The sequence below is a fragment of the Homo sapiens genome, chromosome 14, assembly GCF_000001405.40.
Source record: "Homo sapiens chromosome 14, GRCh38.p14 Primary Assembly".
Lineage (NCBI taxonomy): Eukaryota > Metazoa > Chordata > Mammalia > Primates > Hominidae > Homo > Homo sapiens.
In genome coordinates, this window is record NC_000014.9 from 34,706,157 (window position 1) to 34,726,192 (window position 20,036).

Genomic DNA, 20,036 nt, shown 5'->3' on the forward strand with positions numbered 1-20,036 from the left:
GGCTTAGCCTCCCAAGTAGCTGGGACCATAGGTCTGCGCCACCTCACCCAGCTAATTTCTGTATTTTTTGTAGAATGGGGTTTTGCCATGTTGCCTATGCTATTCTTGAACTGTGAACTCAAGCAATCCATTCACCTTGGCTTCCCAAAGTGCTGGGATTACAGGTGTTAGCCACCATGCCCAGCTGGCATTTAATTTTTTAAGAGTACTTTGCTTATCAAATTCTTGTTCTTATAACTTATTACTTGTTTCAATAATCTAAAAAAAAAAATAGGTCAATAAACCTTCTCTTGGCCAGGCATAGTGGGTCACACCTGTAATTCCATCACTTTGGGAGGCTGAGGCAGGTGGATCACTTCAGGTCAGGAGTTCGAGACCAGCTTGGCCAACACGGTGAAACCCTGTCTCTATTAAAAATACAAAAATTAGCTGGGTGTGGTGGCGGGCACCTGTAATCCCAGCTACTCAGCTACTCACGAGGCTGAGGCAGGAGAATCGCTTGAACCTGGGAGGTGGAGGTTGCAGTGAGGTGAGATTGCACTCCAGCCTGGGTGACACAGCGAGACTCCCGTCTCAAAAAAAAACAACAACAAAAAAAAACAGGAACAAATTTCTTTGTGAGCCTTTAATGATACAGGTACTGTCAACAGCAAGTATGATTTCCTTAAATACTAATAATACTGCAGACACCTCCCTGAGATACAGTAATACCTATTTACAGTTCAGCTCTTTTACATACCTTTTATTAAAACAAACAAAAAACAACCCAAACCCTGAAAGTACATCACAAAGTTATTTAAACAGCCCCCAAAAATAAGGTGCATGTGTTCAGGCATTTTGCTCTCAAGTCTTCACTCTGGGCCTATTTATTTGCTTATACATAATTATAACAAACCTGGTTTTCCAAATCCACGAGATGAAAAGCAACTATTAGCAGAAGCTGCTATAGACAAAGCATACTGATAGTAGCAAAACATAATATCTGACAGTTTACAAGTATGAAAGTCAAAAGGAGGCTCATGCTTGTAATCCCAGCACTTTGGGAGGCCAAGGTGGGCGGATCATGAGGTCAGGAGATGGAGACCATCCTGGCTAACACGGTGAAACCCCACCTCTACTAAAAATACAAAAAGTTAGCCGGGCGTGGTGGCGGACACCTGTAGTCCCAGCTACTCGGGAGACTGAGGCAGGAGAATGGCGTGAACCCAGAAGGTGGAGCTTGCAGCGAGCCAATATCGCGTCACTGCACTCCAGCCTGGGTGACAGAGGAAGACTCCATCTCCAAAAAAAAAAAAAAGTCAGAAGGAACGCTATTAAAAAGGCTTAAAAAGCCAAATTCGATCTCTCTGAGGTTTACTTAAGACCACTCATATACTTCGTGAGATCCTCAAGTCAGTATGCTAATACATTATATAATTAAAATTAATAAATGATGATCTTGAGTCTTTCATACAGTTCATTGTTTAAGTATTACATTTTAATATTAGCCTATACTTCTGGACAACACCTCCTGGTTTGCTTGGGATTGGCCTATCTCAAGCCTGTTGTCTTGGCATAATTAATAGCTCTCCCTTTCATTTTCAAAAAGTGTTCTGGTTTGGCCTGTAAATCTTATAGGATCATCCTACTGAGCCCTTATTATGTGCTAGGAACTATTCCAAGTGCTTTCAGTTATGCTCACAATCCTATGAGACGGAGTACAATCATCCCCATTTTATAGATGTAGTAACTAAGCTTCCAAGAGGTTATACGATTTGTCTAAGACTATCCAGTTACTAAGTGTTAAAGGGCTCTATGTAAACAACCAAGCAATCTAATGCCAAAGTCCTAGGACTTACCCACTATAACATAAAGTACTATCTCTTCTTAGAAAGATGGGTAGGGGAGGGATATATCCAAGTTTCTGGAAAAGGATTAAGAGACACCAGCTTTCTGTGTCTATACAATCCTCGTTTGGCACAGATTCCATAAGTTTACAATACTGAAATATTTCAGAACATCTTTGAAATATACAACTTTTTAGATTTTTATGAGCATGAGCTTTTTTAGAAAACAATCTTAGGATTGTTTTTCAAATATTCTTGAAAGATGCTACTTTAAAAATATACTAAATAGGGCCAGTGCAGTGGCTCAAGCCCATAATCCCAGCAGTTTGGGAAGCCAAGGTGGGCGGATCTCCTAAGGTCAGGAGTTCAAGACCAGCCTAGCCAACATGTTGAAACCCCATCTCTATATACACACTAAATAGGCTCAGCCCAGTGGTTCACACCTATAATCCCAGTGCTTTGGGAAGTTGAGATGGGTGGATTGCTTAAGGCCAGGAATTCAAGACTAGCCTAGACAACACAGTGAGACCCCGTCTCAACAATTTTTTTTTTTTTAAATTAGCTGGGCAGGCCGGGCATGGTGGCTCATGCCTGTAATCCCAGCACTTTGGGAGGCTGAGGCAGGCAGATCACCTGAGGTCAGGAGTTTGAGACCAGCCTGGCCAACATGGTGAAATCCCATCTGTATTAAAAATACAAAAATTAGCCAGGTGTGGTGGCATATGCCTGTAGTCCCAGCTATTCGGGAGGCTGAGGCAGGAGAATTGCTTGAACCCAGGAGGCAGAGGTTGCAGTGAGCCGAGATCACACCACCGCCCTCCAGCGTGGGTGATACAGTGAGACTTTGTCTCAAAAAAAAAAAAAAAAAAAAAATTAGCTGGGCATGGTGGTGTATGTCTATAATCCCAGCTGCTCAGGAGCTTGAGGTGGGAGGATCACTTGAGCCCAGGAGTTCAAGGTTATATTGAGCTATGATTGTGCCACTGCACAGCAGCCTGGGCAATAGAGTGAAACCCTGTCCAAAAAAGAAGAAAAAAATGTGTGTGTATGTGTGTATATATACATATATATATACATATATATATGTACACACACGGAAGTTACAAAAATAGAGGTTCAATGATCTGTAATACATCTTTTAACAAAAACATTTAATATTTATCTACTTACATACAGTAATTAAGAATGAATAGTTTAAACAGATTATTGCATTTACATAGCATTTTCCTGTTTTCAAAAACCATTTCCATATTTAGTACTCAGGAAACATGGTAAACAGATATTACCGTTCCCATACTATGGGTTAAAAAACTGAGATTTAGAGATTTAATTTGCCAAATTGCATTATGAGAGGAAATTTAAGTGGAGGGATGATTCCTCTACTTCTACATGGAAATAAAGCAATTAGTTGGATGTTCCAGAGCAAAAGAAAAGCCTCAGACTTCTTTATGGGCTGAAAGGAGACAGAACATCCATAAACTCATGCTGTCTTCAAAAGCAGTATTTGAGCTTTTGAAGTGGTGGCTCATGCATGCAATCCTAGCACTTTTGGGAGGCGGAGGTCAGAGGACAGCTTGAGCCCAGGAGTTGGAGATCAGCCTAGGCAACATGGCCAAACTCAGTCTCTACAAAAGAGATACAAAAAAAAAAAAAAAAAAAATTAGGCATGGTGGTGCATGCCTGTAGTCCCAGCTACTTGGGAGGCTGAGGTGGGAGGATCATCTGAGCTGGGAAGGTTGAGTTTGAAGTGAGCTGAAATTTTGACACTGCACTCCAGCCTGGGCAACAGAGTGAGACCCTGTCTCAAAAAAAAAAAAAAAAAAAGGCAACATTTACTGGGACCTGCCTGCCCACCTCTAGTAGCTTTAATACTATTCATAAAAAAATGAACATTCACGTTGTTTTGCATCTCCACCTACTATTAAATGTGCAAGCAAAAACAGGACCTATGAAGAGCAAAATGAGACTGTTTTTTCTGAGTGGCAAACCTAAGAGTCTTCTCAACCTCTTGATGATTTACCATTGTTGAGATTATTCCTTAACAAGAAAACACTTTTAAAAGAATTTCCTCCCAAAGCTTATTTGCCAGATTCCATAAATTAGCTGCTACAAATGTTCTGTATCAGAGAAACTCAAACCCAGTAAGAGGCTTCTCTTCCAATGTACGAAAAAGGCACATTTCAATACACAATGCTGGCCACACTATTTTAGATAATGATGGAAAACAACAGCTGATAGCCAGTTTGGGACACATGCCAACTGTTCCCATTTGTCTGAAAATGCTAAAATTAATTGCTGTAACACTCAGTTTTTAAAGAAAATTGTTATTGATAAATGAGAAAGTATTACCAACTAAAATCCTGAAAAACAGAATAAAGATAATGATGCCTCTTTGATCTGAAATACCAGTTTTTAAACTTTTAATGTTCTGAAGTATAAGTAAACACATCTCAACAGCTTTACATATTTTCATATATTTTATTTTTTAAACTCTCATAACTTTGCAAGCTAGCAGTAAAATATTGCCTTCAATATTTTACTAATTAGCACCGTATACCTTTTAAAGCTAACTGGAACATTGATTCATTATAAATGATTGTAAAATAAAATGATCATTTCAAATGCCAAATTAATCTCAAATAACAAGTGAACTATTATTAATTTTATCTCTTTTTTTGGCTCTACGCACAAAGATGTATTTCAAAGATGAACTTAATTATATTAGTATCAGTTTTGTCAATCTAGCAAATCAAAGTATCACAGTTTAAAGCAATATTTAATCTCTGAAATTACTAGAGGCATACAAGAAAGTTAAGGAATCAGCTACAAAAACAAAAGATACTACATAACTGATTTATAGTCCCTTATTTTTTAAAAGAATGAGGAAATAACTCAATGAAAAATTCCATGGTGCCAAGTATCAGTTACACATATGGTTAAGTATACGTCAGTATTCTCTGTTTTGCTTATCAGAGTTTGGCCTTACCAAAAACCATCGAAATGTCCAGGATAACTCACAGGGACAGCTGGAAGCCTGAAATAAAATTGCTCAGTGCAAAAAGATCCCAAACCATTCATATAATTTTAAATGGAAGCCTAGACATTTAATCCCTATTTTTAATGTTCACATCTGAAAAATCTTTCAAAAATATGGAAAAAATCTAATTATACTAAAATTACTTCCACACATTCAAAAAAAATTTTTAAGGGATATTTTCTTTCCTGTTTTCTGCTAAAAGCATTCCTCTGAGCTATGGGGTTAAGTTCTGAGCCACGACTGACTGCTTACTAGCATGCCTGTTTTGCATACCAGTAGAATCAAGTCCAGTTTTGCCATTTGTGGATAACTATGACAAGATACAAAAGCATGTGTTTGCCATAAATAGCCCTGGCTAACAGCAAACCGCTCACACTGAGCAGATCAAATTCTCTATAAGGAGCACAGTCTGGACCATAGCCAAATCCCACTACTAATGTTTAAGACTGCTATTATCAATTCCTATTCCAATTCAATTTGCAAAATATATTCAGAAATAGTAGGTGAAATGACTGTTCCGAAACATCAGAAGTATCATTAAACTTTTAAAGGACATTTTACAAATTATTTTCATTACGACCAAATAAGCAATAAGAGCTTCCTGCTTCTACTATACAACTACTTAGAAATGTAAATGTGAATAAAAAAATAACTATGCTAATTTATCCAGAGAACAAATCAGATATTGAAAAGTATTTATGCCAAAGTGCAAAAAATAATTTCTGATCTTCATATTAACACATAGGAAATAAATACACTAATGTTTATAAAAGTACCATTCTTTAACAATGGTATTTTATATTAGTTGGCCTTAAGATAGAATACTTTTTAAACCAAATAGATCCAACAAATCTGGAAAATATCACACATGAATGCTGTACAAAAAAAATTCTCAAATGACCAGTGCAGAGATTAGTAATAGCTGTTTTTACCCTAGAAGTTGTTTCACATAACATTTTGCAAAATTTCCAAGGAAAACAAGGCAACGTTCTGTAATATGCCACAATTTTTATTGCAACGTGGCCATTTTTGTGAGGGTGGGGAGTTTGATCTCAAAACAATGTTCCATTTAAGGCTCTTTTATACAGAAATTGCCATCATGACTGATATTCAAAATATCTTTAGTGTTGCAGGACTCACATGGTAAACATAAAACTCCTACACTTATTCAGTAGTGTACACTCAATGGAAAACAAAAAGGCATTAATAACAGCTATTTCTTTTAAGAAGATATGCAGGTAACAGGAATGAACACTGAGGTACTAGGATAAGTTGATGACACAGTTAACAAAACTTAATTGGCATTCCTTTTAGGATATTAAACTTATTACAAAAAGTGCTTTTAATGCATAGTGTTATATCCGTGCTGCCATATCACTAAAATAGGCTTGCCAAGGCAGGTGAGGTGTATGAATGCTCAAGCCTCACAGAACTGCAATCAAGTGCCAACTATAAATAATACTGAAAAAAGTTGACCATCTGACCAGTGGATAATACTTTCAAGGCATTCAATTAGCTTATCCTTTGCAGTATTCTAAGCTATTCACATTGACGATCACATACATTGTAGTGCTTGCTGCAAGGGAGGCATATAACCAGTTGTTTTGGCTAAAATATGACAGGAAGGCATTCCTTGGGTTCTATATAAAAGTAACAGTATTCAACAGTCTAATGGCAATCACTGATAGGCTGCTTAAATAAATGATATTTCCTTCATTCATTGTGTTGGAAGGGCCCAGTGGAAAGGGGGAAATACAACAAAAAACCAAAACCTAATACTATTCCAATGGACTGAGCTGGAGAAATGGAAGCTCCTTAAGATCCAGATGGCACTTGACTGTCATTTTATAATGGTTTTCCTTCAAGTGAAACTACTACATTGCCTCCCAATTTCTCTCCAAGTGTCGAACGGTCCTTAATATCATCCAAGCCATTTACTTGCCACTCATGTTTAATACCTAAAAAGAAAAAACATTATCCTATTACTTTATTATAATTAATAAAGAATAATTTCTCTGCCCCAAATATTCAAGTTTGTACCTGTAAATTTCTTTTTAATGGCATCTTTAGAGCTAGCATAAATCATCTTGCTTTTTAAAGGTGCACTTTCAGGAGCCCTACAGAAAAAAAAAAAATTATTGAATCCCATTTATAAGAAAAACAAAGGTAAGACTGACTATGATAATAATAATCCTTGCATTTTAAAAGTACTTTTTTCTTTTGTTTTTACACACCAGAATATAAATACTAGGTCTTCTTTCTTAGACTCTTTTGTTTCGTATGTGGCATCGTACAAAGCATATCGGCAATCATTCAGAGGTAGCAACTTCACAAAAGATGTGTAGGGGTCCTCTACAGTATCACCAATGTCACCCACCAAGATCTGCTTTGCTTCCTCTACAATTATTTGTCTTTTGTCATCGCTTAAACAGAAGAGAACTGCTTTCTTTCTCTTTTTGATCTCCTCTTGTGTAGAAGATTTCCTTACTTTCATATCATTAAAAACTTTGATGACTTCATCATTCACTGTAACTCCAGAAGCCTGAAAATAAACACAGAACAGTAATTCAGAACACGTATTTTGGTTTTAACCAAAATTACTGTTTGCCTAGAGAAGACTCACTTTAGTCTGGACATCAAAAATTGCACCGTACCATGTAAGTCGTCCAATCAGATTTGTCACATTTTAAGAATCAGTAGACGATACAGCGAAGGAGTCTAACTCATCCTGCCCATTCATCCTTCTTAAAGGGGTTTGGACGTGGAAGCGAAAGGGACAAATACAAGTTGTCCCATCCCTGAAATGTTTCCTATTTCACTGGGTGATGTCAGAGCTTCAGGAGTGGCAGCAAAAATACCTTCTGTATTGTGTCAACTCGGCTGGCCTTAAAAAAACACTTTTGGATTTCAGTTAATGCTTCTACTATTTTTTTCTTTAAAGTCATCCTAGCCACTGACGTTTCCTCATAAGGAAAGAGAATCAAGTGTAAACTCCAAACCGCCCACGGCCCACACACAGCTCACATGCAGACACTCCAAAACTAACTGATCGAGTGTAAAAGCTTTTACGGCGAGAAAGCATTTTAAAAAGTGTTTTCCCTCTTCCTTAATCTCCCCGTAAGGGTTTTATTACAGGCCGTCCAGACCCTGACCCACACAGCGTTCGCAGCACGTACCAATTTTAAAGCCTCGCGTGTTAAGTAAAATTAGGAAGCGAAGGGCAAAGGCGGCGCGAGCGGCTGCAGTCCGCAGACCCTCTCGCGCCCCCGCCCGCCCGGCCCCGACCCCCAACCTGCGCCGACGCCCGGGCCCTCCCCGCCCCCCAAAATCCAAAGAGCAGCAGGGCAGGGCCTGACGGCCGGAGGGCAGGCCGGTCGGCTGGAGAGCAGCGGAGCCGCAGAGCAGAAGCGCCCACCTTGGAGGCCAAAATCAGGTTAAAATGGCGGCCTCACTCCCGGGGCCGTGCGGGGGGCTTTTCTCGCCTCGCCGCGGCCTCCCGGCCAGCGCGCTCGTCTTACCATAGTGCCCTCGGCTGTGGCTGCGGCGGCAGCTCGGGCTTCGGCTCTGTGGCACTGGGAGGAGAAGGAGGGGCGGGCGAGCGGGTGGGCAGCGGAGAGTGCGGGGCACGCCGGGAGCTGCAGCCCGAGGGAGGTGGCGGGGCTCGGCGGGCCGCAGGCAGCGGGCGGGGCGGTCACGTGGGCACGCCTGGTCCCCAGCCGGCGCCACCCGCTCCCAGGCCGGCCCTTCTGTCTCGCGGCCCCGGCTCCCCGGCTGTCCGCGTCCTCGGCCTGACCTCAGAGCGCGAGCCCTGCAGGCCGGGGGGGGCGACGCGGTGGTAGCGGAGCCCGGGAGCCTGGCAGAGCCGCCTCCAGCCCCCGAGCATCACCCGTCAAGCCGGTGGGAGAGAGTGCTGGGCTCCCAGAGGGGCGTTTCCACCGCCTCCGTAGGGCCCTGCGCCAGGGGTGGGTGCGTGTGAGGGGAACTCCTGCGAAGGTGTCTTTCCTTATTTACCTGTGGTTTTCCCGAAAGAGGCTGGATTTCGACATTTTGAGTCTTTTTGGAAAACCCCCAGTTGTTTAGAGATAAATGAGAATAAATACTACACGAGATTGCTCCAGTTGATAGTACTTAGCAAAAACAAAATGATACGCAGTGTTGGTAAATCACTTTTCAAAACTCTGGTTGAAATAATAATTATGATTAAAAAATTACGTGGTAGCATTCCTTAGTAATATCCTTTTACATTTTAGACTTCATAGGAAATGGATTGTACTCTCTCTTAGAGATTTCATGAAGCTCCAGCTATGACAGCTGATATCAAATAAGCCGACGCAGCCTCTTCTAGCAAAGCCCATATAACTGCGCCAAGGCAGTTTCTCTTTTTTTAATCTTAACTCCTCCATACCTCAGGGTTCTTCATGTGTAAAACAAACTGTTATTAAATTATCGTTAAGGCCCTTTCCAGCTTTAGATTTCAGTTTCTGAGTATATCAATGTTCAGTAGGAAATGGTGTGTTTTTGGTGGTCTCAGGATTGAGGTTAGGCAGGAAAGTCATGAGATGGTGTTTGCCCTAGATTGCGTGATAAGTTCTTTCAGCCCAAATTTACTGTATTTTAAATGGAACATGCTAGGCATTGAAACAGACCTATTTTTCTGTCTATATCTTGGGTTTGTTTTCTTAATTGGAAGATAGACTTCGTTTAGAGACAAAAATTGAGAAGGGATTTCCCAATGTCTAAGCATGAATCCCAAGCAAGTGGATAATACTTTATATCTAGCTGGTACATTACAATTTATGGAACCTTTCACTTTATCTGTTGAACTTCCAAGAAGTCATGGAGAATGTCTCTCCAGAGCTCTGATCATCTGCTATGTGTAGGTATTAGCAAATTCCTGTTCGCTTCATCTTGCGGTTACCTTCCCTTCCCAACCTCAGAGATTTGCAGCAGCCCCAGCAGAGACCAGGTCTGATGACACTGGGGCCTAAAGTGGGTGTCAGAACCTTACCCACCAAAGCTGGGGATTCCAAAGATGCTAGTCACCCCCTAGCTCGGACTCCAACCCCTTTCCATGCCTCCCATTCTCTCTTACCCTCCCCAAACAGAGATGGTAATTCACATGTTCTAAGATTCTTTTCCTGAAGTTATTTTTGTCTTGCATATATTTTGTTACATTATAATAACTTGTTTATGTCTTCTGCCACCCTACTGCGCTGTAAGCTCCTTAAGGATCTGAGTCCTGGTTATCTTTGAATTTCTGGAACCTGACAGATAGTAGGTGCTTAATAGGTGCTGAAATAATACATTTAAGATGCTTTAGTGCTGTAAAGAGAATGAAAAGGAAGCTTCTGAAAATTGTGAAGCCTTTCTACATGCCCTTGTGAGCATGGCACTGAGAATGTCAGGGCCAGTAGCAGCTTCCTGCCTTCACCTCTGTGAGTTATAACCAGAACTTACCACCACTTGGTAAAGGGGCAGCATTGCCAATCATTGCTGCATGAATTTTGGTCACTGTGTAGTGGAGGGGGATCTGAGTGTCAGATACCACATGTATTAGCGTTCGACTGTTGCTATAACAAATTACCATAAAATTACTTGTTTAAAACAACACAAATTTATTATTTATGGTCTTACAGAGTCAGAGAAACAAGTCTCTCTCTCTATATATATATATTTAAGAGATAGTCTCTGGTTCTGTTGCCCACCCAGGTTGCTGGAGTGCAGGATGTGATCATAGCTCACTGCAGCCTCATACTCCTGGCCTCAAGTGAGCCTCCTGCCTCAGCCTCCCGAGTAGTTGGGATTACAGGCATGAACCACCACAACTAGCAGAAATAAGCCTGATGGGGCTAAAGTCAAGAGACTGTAGTGGGAGACTCCTTTGCCTTTTCCAACATCTAGAGGCTGCCCATCATTTTTTTTTTTTTTTTTTGAGATGGAGTCTCACTCTGTCACCCAGGCTGGAGTGCAGTGGTGCTATCTCGGCTCACTGCAAACTCCGCCTCCTGGGTTCACACCATTCTCCTGCCTTAGCCTCCTGAGTAGCTGGGACTACAGGCACCCGCCACCATGCCCGGCTAATTTTTTGTATTTTTAGTAGAGATGGGGTTTCACCGTGTTAGCGAGGATGGTCTTGATCTCCTGACCTTGTGATCCGCCCACCTTGGCCTCCCAAAGTGCTGGGATTACAGGTGCGAGCCACCACACTCGACCTGCCCATCATCTTTGGCCTGTGGCCCCAGGCAGCAGTCGCATCACTCTGACCTCTGCCTCAGTCATCACATTTCCTCTGACTCTCTCTCTCCTGCCTCCGTCTTCCACTTATAAGGACCATTATGGTTACTTTGGACCCCACTTGGTAGTTTAGGATAATTCCCCCTCTCAAGATCCTTAACTTAATCACATCTGCAAAGTCTGTTTTTTCGTACAAGTTAACATTCAAAGACTTTGGAGGTTAGGACAGGAACACCTTTGTGAGGAGGGGTTGCATTATTCTGCCTACCATACAACTGTTCTGAGCAATTTCAAGCTCAAGCAAACAATTAATAGGTGTGACAGAGGGACCCCGAACAATGTGGTACTAGATACTTTTGTGCTGTAAACATCTAAGCTATAATTATCCATTTACTAGACCACACATAGATGGCAGTGACAACTATTAGGAACTTAGTGAGAGTAACCTCTGAATGTAATCTCAGCTCAGACACTAGTAGCGGTGCAATTTCAGGCCATTGATTTAGCTGCCATAAGGCTCAGTTTCCAAATCATGTGTAAAATAGGGATTATATGACCTCTTCCCTCTCAGGATTATGGGGAGGATCAAGAGAGATAATGTATGTAAAGCCCTTGTCCAGCACAGAAATAGGAACCCTGGAGCTGTTATTACCACCAGCAGAGTGAAGATGAAGGCACTGATTTTATCAACTCATAGGCAATAGCGTGAAGCCGTCCCAATCCTCATTGATTCTGAAGACTCAGCTAAAGTTTGTTTACTCAGGATTCTTTAAAAAATTGGAAAGGTGATCATCCCTTAATATATATAATCTATTCCCCCAAGAAACAATCTATTATGTATATATTTACTTACTCACTTACAGAGATGGGGGTCTTACTATGTTGCCCAGGCTGGTCTCAACTTCTGGGCTCAAGCAGTCCTCCCGCCTTGGCCTCCTAAAGTGCTGGAATTACAGGCATGAGCCACCACACCTGAGAAACAATGTGGATGGAGGTTCTGTGGCATGTAAAAGTTTGAAAGAACTATCTAAAACAGTGAATCTGGAAGATTATGCAGACAAACTGTGTGTAAGCCCTACTCCCTGTCAAGAGACATCACATTCTCAGCTCCCACAGCCACTTCCTGACAAAGACAAATGTAAGCATAAAGACACTACCACTTCAAAATGTACCTTTCTACCGACATGCCTTCCTAACTCTGACATATCCTTCCTAACCCACGCCTGAGCTAAAGGACTGATGAGGGGCCGGGCGCAGTGGCTCACGCCTGTAATCCCAGCACTTTGGGAGGCTGAGGCGGGCGGATCATGAGGTCAGGAGATCGAGACCATCCTGGCTAACACGGTGAAACCCCGTCTCTACTAAAAATACAAAAAGTTAGCCGGGCGTGGTGGCGGGCGCCTGTAGTCCCAGCTACTCAGGAGGCTGAGGCAGGAGAATGGCGTGAACCCGGGAGGTGGAGCTTGCAGTGAGCCGAGATTGCACCACTGCACTCCAGCCTGGGCGACAAGTGAGACTCATCTCAAAAAAAAAAAAAAAAAAGACTGATGAGGAGTCAAGTCGTATATTTTTCTAAATCCAAGTTTGAATTTAGAACTAGAAAATAAATACAGTAGGAGGTGTTTTTTTGGAGTCTGATCTCTGTGACTCACTCTCATCCACAAACTCACTTTGGGTCTTACATATGCCATCTCTGGTTCTTTCTAATTTAGGAGAATGACCTCACAATAAAGGAATTTATCAGTAATCTGTGTCACATGAAGTGGTAATGAAGAGGTAGCAGTATTGAAATGCAATAATTAGTGAAATGTAGTTCAAAATGGTCTCAAACTATAATTACCAACTTCAATGGTGTAAAACATACCAGCTTCAACTTATTAACTCAGACACAATTTATCAGATTCACCCGCCAGTTATTTGTAAAACCTCAATCACAATGTTAATTAATAATGCATTGATAGTAATTGAATTGTGATAGTAAATAGCAACTGGTTACCTAAATTATACAAACCATATAAAACGTCATCTGAGAAAAGAAACTTGCTAGTAATTTATTAAACACTCCTTTGTTTAACTTACTTTATTACAAAAGCAGTAGATTTTGGCCGGGCGTGATGGCTCATGCCTGTTATCCTAGCACTTTGGGAGACCAAGGTGGGTGGATTGCTTGAGCTCAGGAGTTCAAGACCAGCCTGGGCAACACGGTGAGACCCCATCTCTACAAAAAATAAAAAAAATCAGGCGGGTGTAGTGGCACATGCCTATAGTTCCAGCTACTTGGGAGGGCTGAGGCAGGAGGATGGCTTGAACCCAGGAGGTGGAGGCTACAGTGAGCTGAGACTGAGCCACTGCACTCCAGCCTGGGCGACAGAGTGAGACTTTCTTAAAAAAACAAAACAAAACAAAACACAGTAGATTTTATTTTTGTTTTTATTTTTTAAATTTACTTATTTATTTATTTGAGACAGGGTCTCACCATCATCCAGGCTGGAGTGCAGTGGCACGATCATGGCTCACTGCAGGCTTGACCTCCCTGGGCTTAGGTGATGCTCCCACCTCAGTCTCCTGAGTAGCTGGGACTACAGGCATGTGCTACTACGCCCAGCTAATTTTCATATTTTTTGTAGAGATGAAGTCTCCCTATGTTGCCTAGGCTGGTCTTGAACTCCTGGGCTCAACAGATCCTCCTGCCTCAGCCTCCCCAAGTGCTTGGATTACAGGCATGAGCCACTACACCTAGCCAAAAGCTGTAGATTTTAAAACCATAGGCTAATCATACAGACATGAAAAATGTAACATATAAAAACTATATGTTAAGAGACATGAATAAGAGTTGGAGAGAGATCATAAAATGAATACATGCATGGAGAGTTTATTCATTCCATCCATTAATTCCTTTATTTCATTTATTGAGCACCTCTGCTGGGTGTTGGGAATGCAAAGATAAACATAACATAGTCCCTGCCTTGAAGAAAGTCAGTCCTGTGGGAGCACAGCAAGGAAGCTGACCTTTATGAAACAATCCCATGCATGCTACAATGGCATATACACAGGATGTCTTGTGAGCACCAAAGAGGGCCACCAGTGCAGTATGGAGTGAGTTGGGTCTTAAGGAACAAGTGGGCATTTACTAGGCAGATGAAGGAAGGGTACTCAAAGCAAAGAGAACCAAATGTACAAAGCTACAGTGCACGAGTGATGTACAAAGCTACAGTGCATGAGTGAAGCAGAAGAAACCCCAAGTAGTTTGTTGGAGCCTCTGGGTTTGGAGGGAATAACGGAGTGGTAGGAAGCATCAGATCTTATGAGCTTTATAGACAATCTCACAGTCAGAACTTTATTCTGCAGATGATGAAGGAGACATAATTTTTCAAATGTTTTTAAAATAATAGGTATATTGAGATATTCACAGACCAAGAAATTTGCCCTTTTAAGTGTACCATTCCATGTTTTTCAGTATATTTAGTTGTGCAACCATCACAACTATCTAATTTTGAACCTTTTTATCACCCCCAAAAAGAAAACCCCATACCTATTAGCAGTCACTTTACATTCTGTCTTCTTCTGAGCTTCTGGCAACCATTAGTCTACTATCTTTGCAGATTTCCCTGTTCTGGACATTTTATATGAGTGGAATTTTGTAATATGTGATCTTTGTGAGTGGCTTCTCTGACTTAGCCTAATGTTTTCAAGGTTTGTCCAGTTTGTAGTATGTATCACTACTTCATTTTTATAATCAAATCACATTCTGTTGCCTAGAAATACCGCACTTCCTTTATCTGTTCATCAGTTGATGGGCATTTCAGTTTTTTGTACTTTTTGGCTATTATGAATAATGCTGCCATGAACATTCATGTACAAATTTTTGTGTGAACATATATTTTCATTTCTTTTGGGTATATACCTGCTGGGTCATATGGTAACTTTATGTTTAACATTTTGGAGAGGTCTCAAACTGTTTTCCAAAGTGGCTGCCCCATTTTATAATCCCATTCATACATTTTATAATCCCATTCATACGTTTTATAATCCCAATGTATGAGGATTTCAATTTCTCCACATCCTTGACAACACTTGTTATTGTCTGTCTTTTTTATTTTAGCCGTCCTAATGGCTGTGAAGTGGTATCTCATGGTGGTTTTGATTTGCATTTCCCTGATGTCTAATGATGCTGAGCATCTTTTCATGTGCTTCTTGTATCTTCTTTGGAGAAATTCCTCTTTGCTCCATTTCTAAATTGAGTTATTTGTCTTTTTATTCATTTGTAAGAGTTCATCATATATGCTGGATACAAGTCCCTTACTGGATATATAATTTGCAAAAAATTTTTCCATTTTGTGGGCTGTCTTTTCACTTTCTTAATGGTGTCCTTTGAAACTAAAAAGTTTTAAATTTTGATGGAGTTTATCTAATTTTTCTTCTGTTGCTTGTGCTTTTGGTGTTACATCAAAGAAATCATTGCCTAATCTAAGGTTATAAAAATTTACTCACATATTAAGAGTTTTATAGTTTTAAGTCTATAGTCTATTTTGCATTAATTTTTTAATATGGTCAGGTAGTGGGCCAACTTCATTCTTTTGCATATGGTCCAGTTGTTCTAGCACCATTTATTGAAAAGACTGTTTTTTATCTAATTTTTTTTTTTTTTTTTTAAGAAGGAGTCTCACTCTGTTGCCCAGGTTGGAGTGCAGTGGTGGGATCTCGGCTCACTGCAACCTCTACCACCTGGGTTCAAGTGATTCTCCTGCGTCAGCCTCCCGAGTAGCTGGGACTACAGGCACGTGCCACCGCATCCAGCTAATTTTTATATTTTTAGTATTTTTAGTTGAGATGGGGTTTCACCATGTTGGCCAGGCTGGTCTCGAACTCCTGGCCTCAAGTGATCCACGCACCTCGGCCCCCTTTAGTGTTGGGATTACAAGCATGAGTCACTGCGCCTGGCCTCTAATTTGTTTTTTAAAATGTCATTATAAGTATGCTAGCAATCACATTCTAAGATGTCATCAATTTTTAGATTTATAATTGCTTACTGATGAACTGAAGTGCTAACAAGAAAGGAATTTCTCTTGTATTTCACAACTGGATTACTTGTGCATCTGAAGATTAACTTATTAATGAATGTCAATAGAAACATATTTTAATTAATTTATTTTGTTTTTTTTTTTGGAGATGGAGTCTCGCACTGTTGCTCAGGCTGGAGTGCAGCGGCATGATCTTGGCTCACTCCAACCTCTGTCTCCTGGGTTCAAGCGATTCTCCTGGCACAACCTCCCAAGAAGCTGGGATTATAGGTGCATACCACCACTCCCAGCTGATATTTTGGATTTTTAGTAGAGACGGGGTTTCACTATGTTGGCCAGGCTGGTCTTGAACTGCGGACCTCAGGTGATCCACCCGCCTCGGCCTCCCAAAGTGCTGGGATTACAGGCAGGAGCCACTGCGCCTGGCCAGAAACATATGTTTTTAAACCACTTGAGTTTCTACTATGTGCCAAGGACTGTGCTAGACACTGGGTGTAAGATGATGTAGAAAACAGACATGGTCCCTGCCTTCGTGGAGCCTGTAGGCTAGTGAGAGAATAACAAGGGTCCCTGATATAAACTAGGAGAAATAAAGAAGGCTTCTCCAGTTGAAAAGTCCTCCACATGAAGGCAAAGCATGAAAAAAAGACTAAGAAGGAGCTTGGCTCTTTTGGGAAAATAAAAGGCCAGTAGAACTGTAGTGTAGTGAGCAGGGAGAACAGTGGCAGATAAGGCTGAAGAAACGGTCAGGGGCCAGTTAATACAAGGCCATATAAACCATGTCCCGAACTGTGTTTTGAGGCTCCCTGGGGTGCACCAGCAAACTCACCAGGATGCCTTGGATATTTTTAAAATTTGAGGGAAACACAGCGACATCTGTCGAACATCACAGGAACTACTACCTCGAGCTATTTTCCACTTTAAATCCAGCTACGTTCCTTTGGATGTGTTTTTCCCTCCTTGCTGTGATAAAAAGCAAGACCTAAGGGAAAATCGGTGTGGAGCACGAGATGTGGATGGCTGTGCCCAATACAGTTCTAAGGTTTGAAAAGTTATGCAGTGCCCAGTAGATGCTAAGTTGTTAGGACATGAATATTTATTGTTTGGATCTAACTACTTATTAGACCAAAATGTTAGTTATTTCTTTTGGCCTGAGTGGAACTTGAAAAAAACTGCTGAGACATTAAGGCCACCTTGAGCCAAGAAAATGTGGGAGTCTTTACTGTTAAGGATTTTGGGGTTTTGTTCCAAGGGTTACAGGACGTTCTGGAAAGGTATATATGTATGTATGTTTTATTTATTTGACAGGGTCTCACTCTGTCACCCAGGCTGGAGTGCAGTTGTGTGATCTTGGCTCACTGCATGCAACCTCTTCCTCCTGGGTTCACGCCATCCTCCCACCTCAGTCTCGTGAGTAGCTGGAATTACAGGCGAGCGCCACCATGCCCAGCTAATTTTTGTATTTTTAGTAGAAACAGGGTTTCGCTATGTTGCCCAGGCTGGTCTCCAACTCCTGGACTCAGTGATCTGCCTGCCTCGCCTCCCAGAGTACTGGGATTACAGGCGTAAGCCACCATGCCATGCCTGGCCTGGAAGGGTTTTTAAAACAGGAGAGTGCTGTGGAGGCTTTAATATTTTCTAGTAAAACAATATTTTAAAAATCTAGACATTTTACCTAAAGTGATTTTTTCTTTCACTTACTTGTTCAATTATCACAATGTCTTACTTAGGCTTGAATTTCAAAACTCTAATTAAAGGCTGTAATGTTTTCCTCCCTAACAGATCATTTTGCCCCACGGCTAGTTAGAGACCAATCAAGAATGGAAGCAGAGTTGACTTAAGTGGCTTTTAAATTGTTTCTCCTTCCACAAACTGCCTACAAAAGGGTGAGGGGGGTGCGGGAAGGACGCACTACTTTTCTGATGTCCCTGGGATCACTTTAAGTTGGAAAGGATGGAACAGATTTCCTAGGTAGATGAGGCCTATAAAGCTGTCTCCTTTCCAAGGTGCTTGAAATTTTTATCCTCTCAAATGGGTTTTTGTTTGTTTGTTTGTTTGTTTTGAGACAGAGTCTTGCTCTGTCGCCCAGGCTGGAGTGCAGTGTCGCGATCTCAGCTCACTGCAAGCTCCGCCTCCCGGGTTCACGCCATTCCCCTGCCTTAGCCTCCCGAGTAGCTGGGACTACAGGAGCCCGCCACCACGCCCGGCTAATTTTTTTGTATTTTTAGTAGAGACAGGGTTTCACCGTGGTCTCGATCTCCTGACCTTGTGATCTGCCCGCCTCGGCCTCCCCAAGTGCTGGGATTACAGGCGTGAGCCACCATGCCCGGCCACTGTTTTTTTTTTTTTTTTTTTTTTAAAGGCAGGGTCTTCCTATGTTGCCCAGGCTGGAATGCAGTGTTGTGATTATACCTCACTGCAGCCTCGCTCTCCTGGGCTCAAGTAATCCTCCCACATCAGCCTCCCCCGTAGTTGGGACTACAGGTACATGCCACCACGCCTGGCTAATTTTTAATTTTTCGTAGAGACAGGGTCAGGTCTTACTGTGTTGCCCTAGCTGGTCTCAAATTCCTAGTCTCAAGCAATCCTCCCACCTGGGCTCCCAAGGTGCTGAGATTGCAGGCATGAGCCACTTTGCCCAGCCTTTCTCACATCGGTTTGAAACATTATAGCAGAGATTGCCGGGGCCGCCAATGTCCATTCTTCCCTTGCACTTTAGTAAAAGAATGTCAGTCCCCACTTTATTTGGAGCTTATGTCCCCAGCTAAAAGACTGAATTTTTCATCCTCTCTGATAAGAGATATGGCTATGTGACTAATTCTACCAATATCGAGTTGACTTCCCAGGAGGCTGCTTAAAAGGAGCTGACTCAGGCCGGGCACAGTGGCTCACACCTGTAATCCCAGCACTTTGGGAGGCCGAGGCGGGCGGATCACAAGGTCAGGAGATCGAGACCATCCTGGCTAACATGGTGAAACCCCGTCTCTACTAAAAATACAAAAAAAATCAGCTGGGCATGGTGGCGGGCGCCTGTAGTTCCAGCTACTCAGGAGGCTGAGGCAGGAGAATGGCGTGAACCCTGGAGGCGGAGCTTGCAGTGAGCCGAGATCGCGCCACTGCACTCCAGCCTGAGCGACAGAGCTAGATGCAGGTGTGTTCTCTCTTGCCTTTCCGTCCTTCCTTCTTTTGGCTTGTGTCACAGACTTGATGGTTAGAGGGCCACCAGCCCTCTTGGACCATGAGGTGATCTTGAGAATCAATGCCAGTTGTTAGGATGATGGAGCAGAAAGAGAGAGGGGACCCTGGATCTCAGATGATTATGCAGCCACCATGCGAGTCCTGGACAGCCTTCCTGTGGACTTTAATATGATAGGGAAATTTCTTTTCTTTTTTTCTTTTTTTTGGGGGGGAAGGGTGGAGGGCAGGGAGGACAAAGTTTCACTCTTATTGCCCAGGCTGGAGTGCAATGGCACAATCTCAGCTCACTGCAACCTTCACCTCCTGGGTTCAAGCGATTCTCCTGTCTCAGTCTCCCAAGTAGCTGGGATTACAGGCATGTGCCACCACACCTGGCTAATTTTTTGTATTTAGTGGAGATGGGATTTCACCATGTTGGCCAGGCTGGTCTTGAACTCCCGACATCAGGTGATCTACCTGCCTCGGCCTCCCAAAGCGCTGGGATTACAGGCATGAGCCTCTGCGCCCAGCCAGGAAATTTCTTTATTTTTATTTTTTTCACTGCTTGCAGAACTTCCAGTCTATGAAAGATAAATTTCTGTCTCATTCAAGACACTGTTACTTGGCTTGAACTACTCTTCGTTTTATGTAAGCAGCTCTGTCTTAATCGTTGTGATATATGATTACCTGAAATAAGGTTCTAGCCATTGAGCCCTCTGTCCAGGGTGGGGACTGACACCT

General features: G+C 42.1%; 1 protein-coding gene across 5 annotated transcripts, besides 3 other annotated features; it reads right to left on the reverse strand.

Moving 5' to 3' along the window:
- Positions 2,957-8,437, reverse strand: CFL2 (cofilin 2). 5 transcript variants are annotated; one of them, NR_028131.2, is made up of 4 exons: positions 8,382-8,437; positions 7,352-7,405; positions 6,904-6,980; positions 2,957-6,821 (listed from the first exon to the last, which is right to left on the reverse strand). NR_028131.2 is itself a non-coding variant. In NM_138638.5 (4 exons), the coding sequence occupies exons 1-4, from the start codon at positions 8,382-8,384 to the stop codon at positions 6,709-6,711; spliced, it is 501 nt and encodes a 166-aa protein (NP_619579.1). In that variant the 5' UTR covers positions 8,385-8,437; the 3' UTR covers positions 2,957-6,708. The 5 variants fall into 5 exon arrangements, 3 of the variants coding, with proteins under 3 accessions (NP_619579.1, NP_001230574.1, NP_068733.1); NR_028130.2 differs by having other exon boundaries at positions 7,241-7,405; NM_138638.5 differs by having other exon boundaries at positions 7,098-7,405.
- Positions 8,134-8,193: a silencer, noted in NCBI's record as "silent region_5667". NCBI's record gives its function as "represses an Ori minimal core promoter by ATAC-STARR-seq in GM12878 lymphoblastoid cells {active_cell/tissue: GM12878}" and the evidence as "EXISTENCE:reporter gene assay evidence [ECO:0000049][PMID:35858748]".
- Positions 8,284-8,873: a silencer, noted in NCBI's record as "silent region_5668". NCBI's record gives its function as "represses an Ori minimal core promoter by ATAC-STARR-seq in GM12878 lymphoblastoid cells {active_cell/tissue: GM12878}" and the evidence as "EXISTENCE:reporter gene assay evidence [ECO:0000049][PMID:35858748]".
- Positions 16,847-17,141: a silencer, noted in NCBI's record as "tiled region #5589; HepG2 Repressive DNase unmatched - State 4:PromP". NCBI's record gives its function as "represses a minimal TATA promoter and a strong SV40 promoter by Sharpr-MPRA in HepG2 cells {active_cell/tissue: HepG2}" and the evidence as "EXISTENCE:reporter gene assay evidence [ECO:0000049][PMID:27701403]".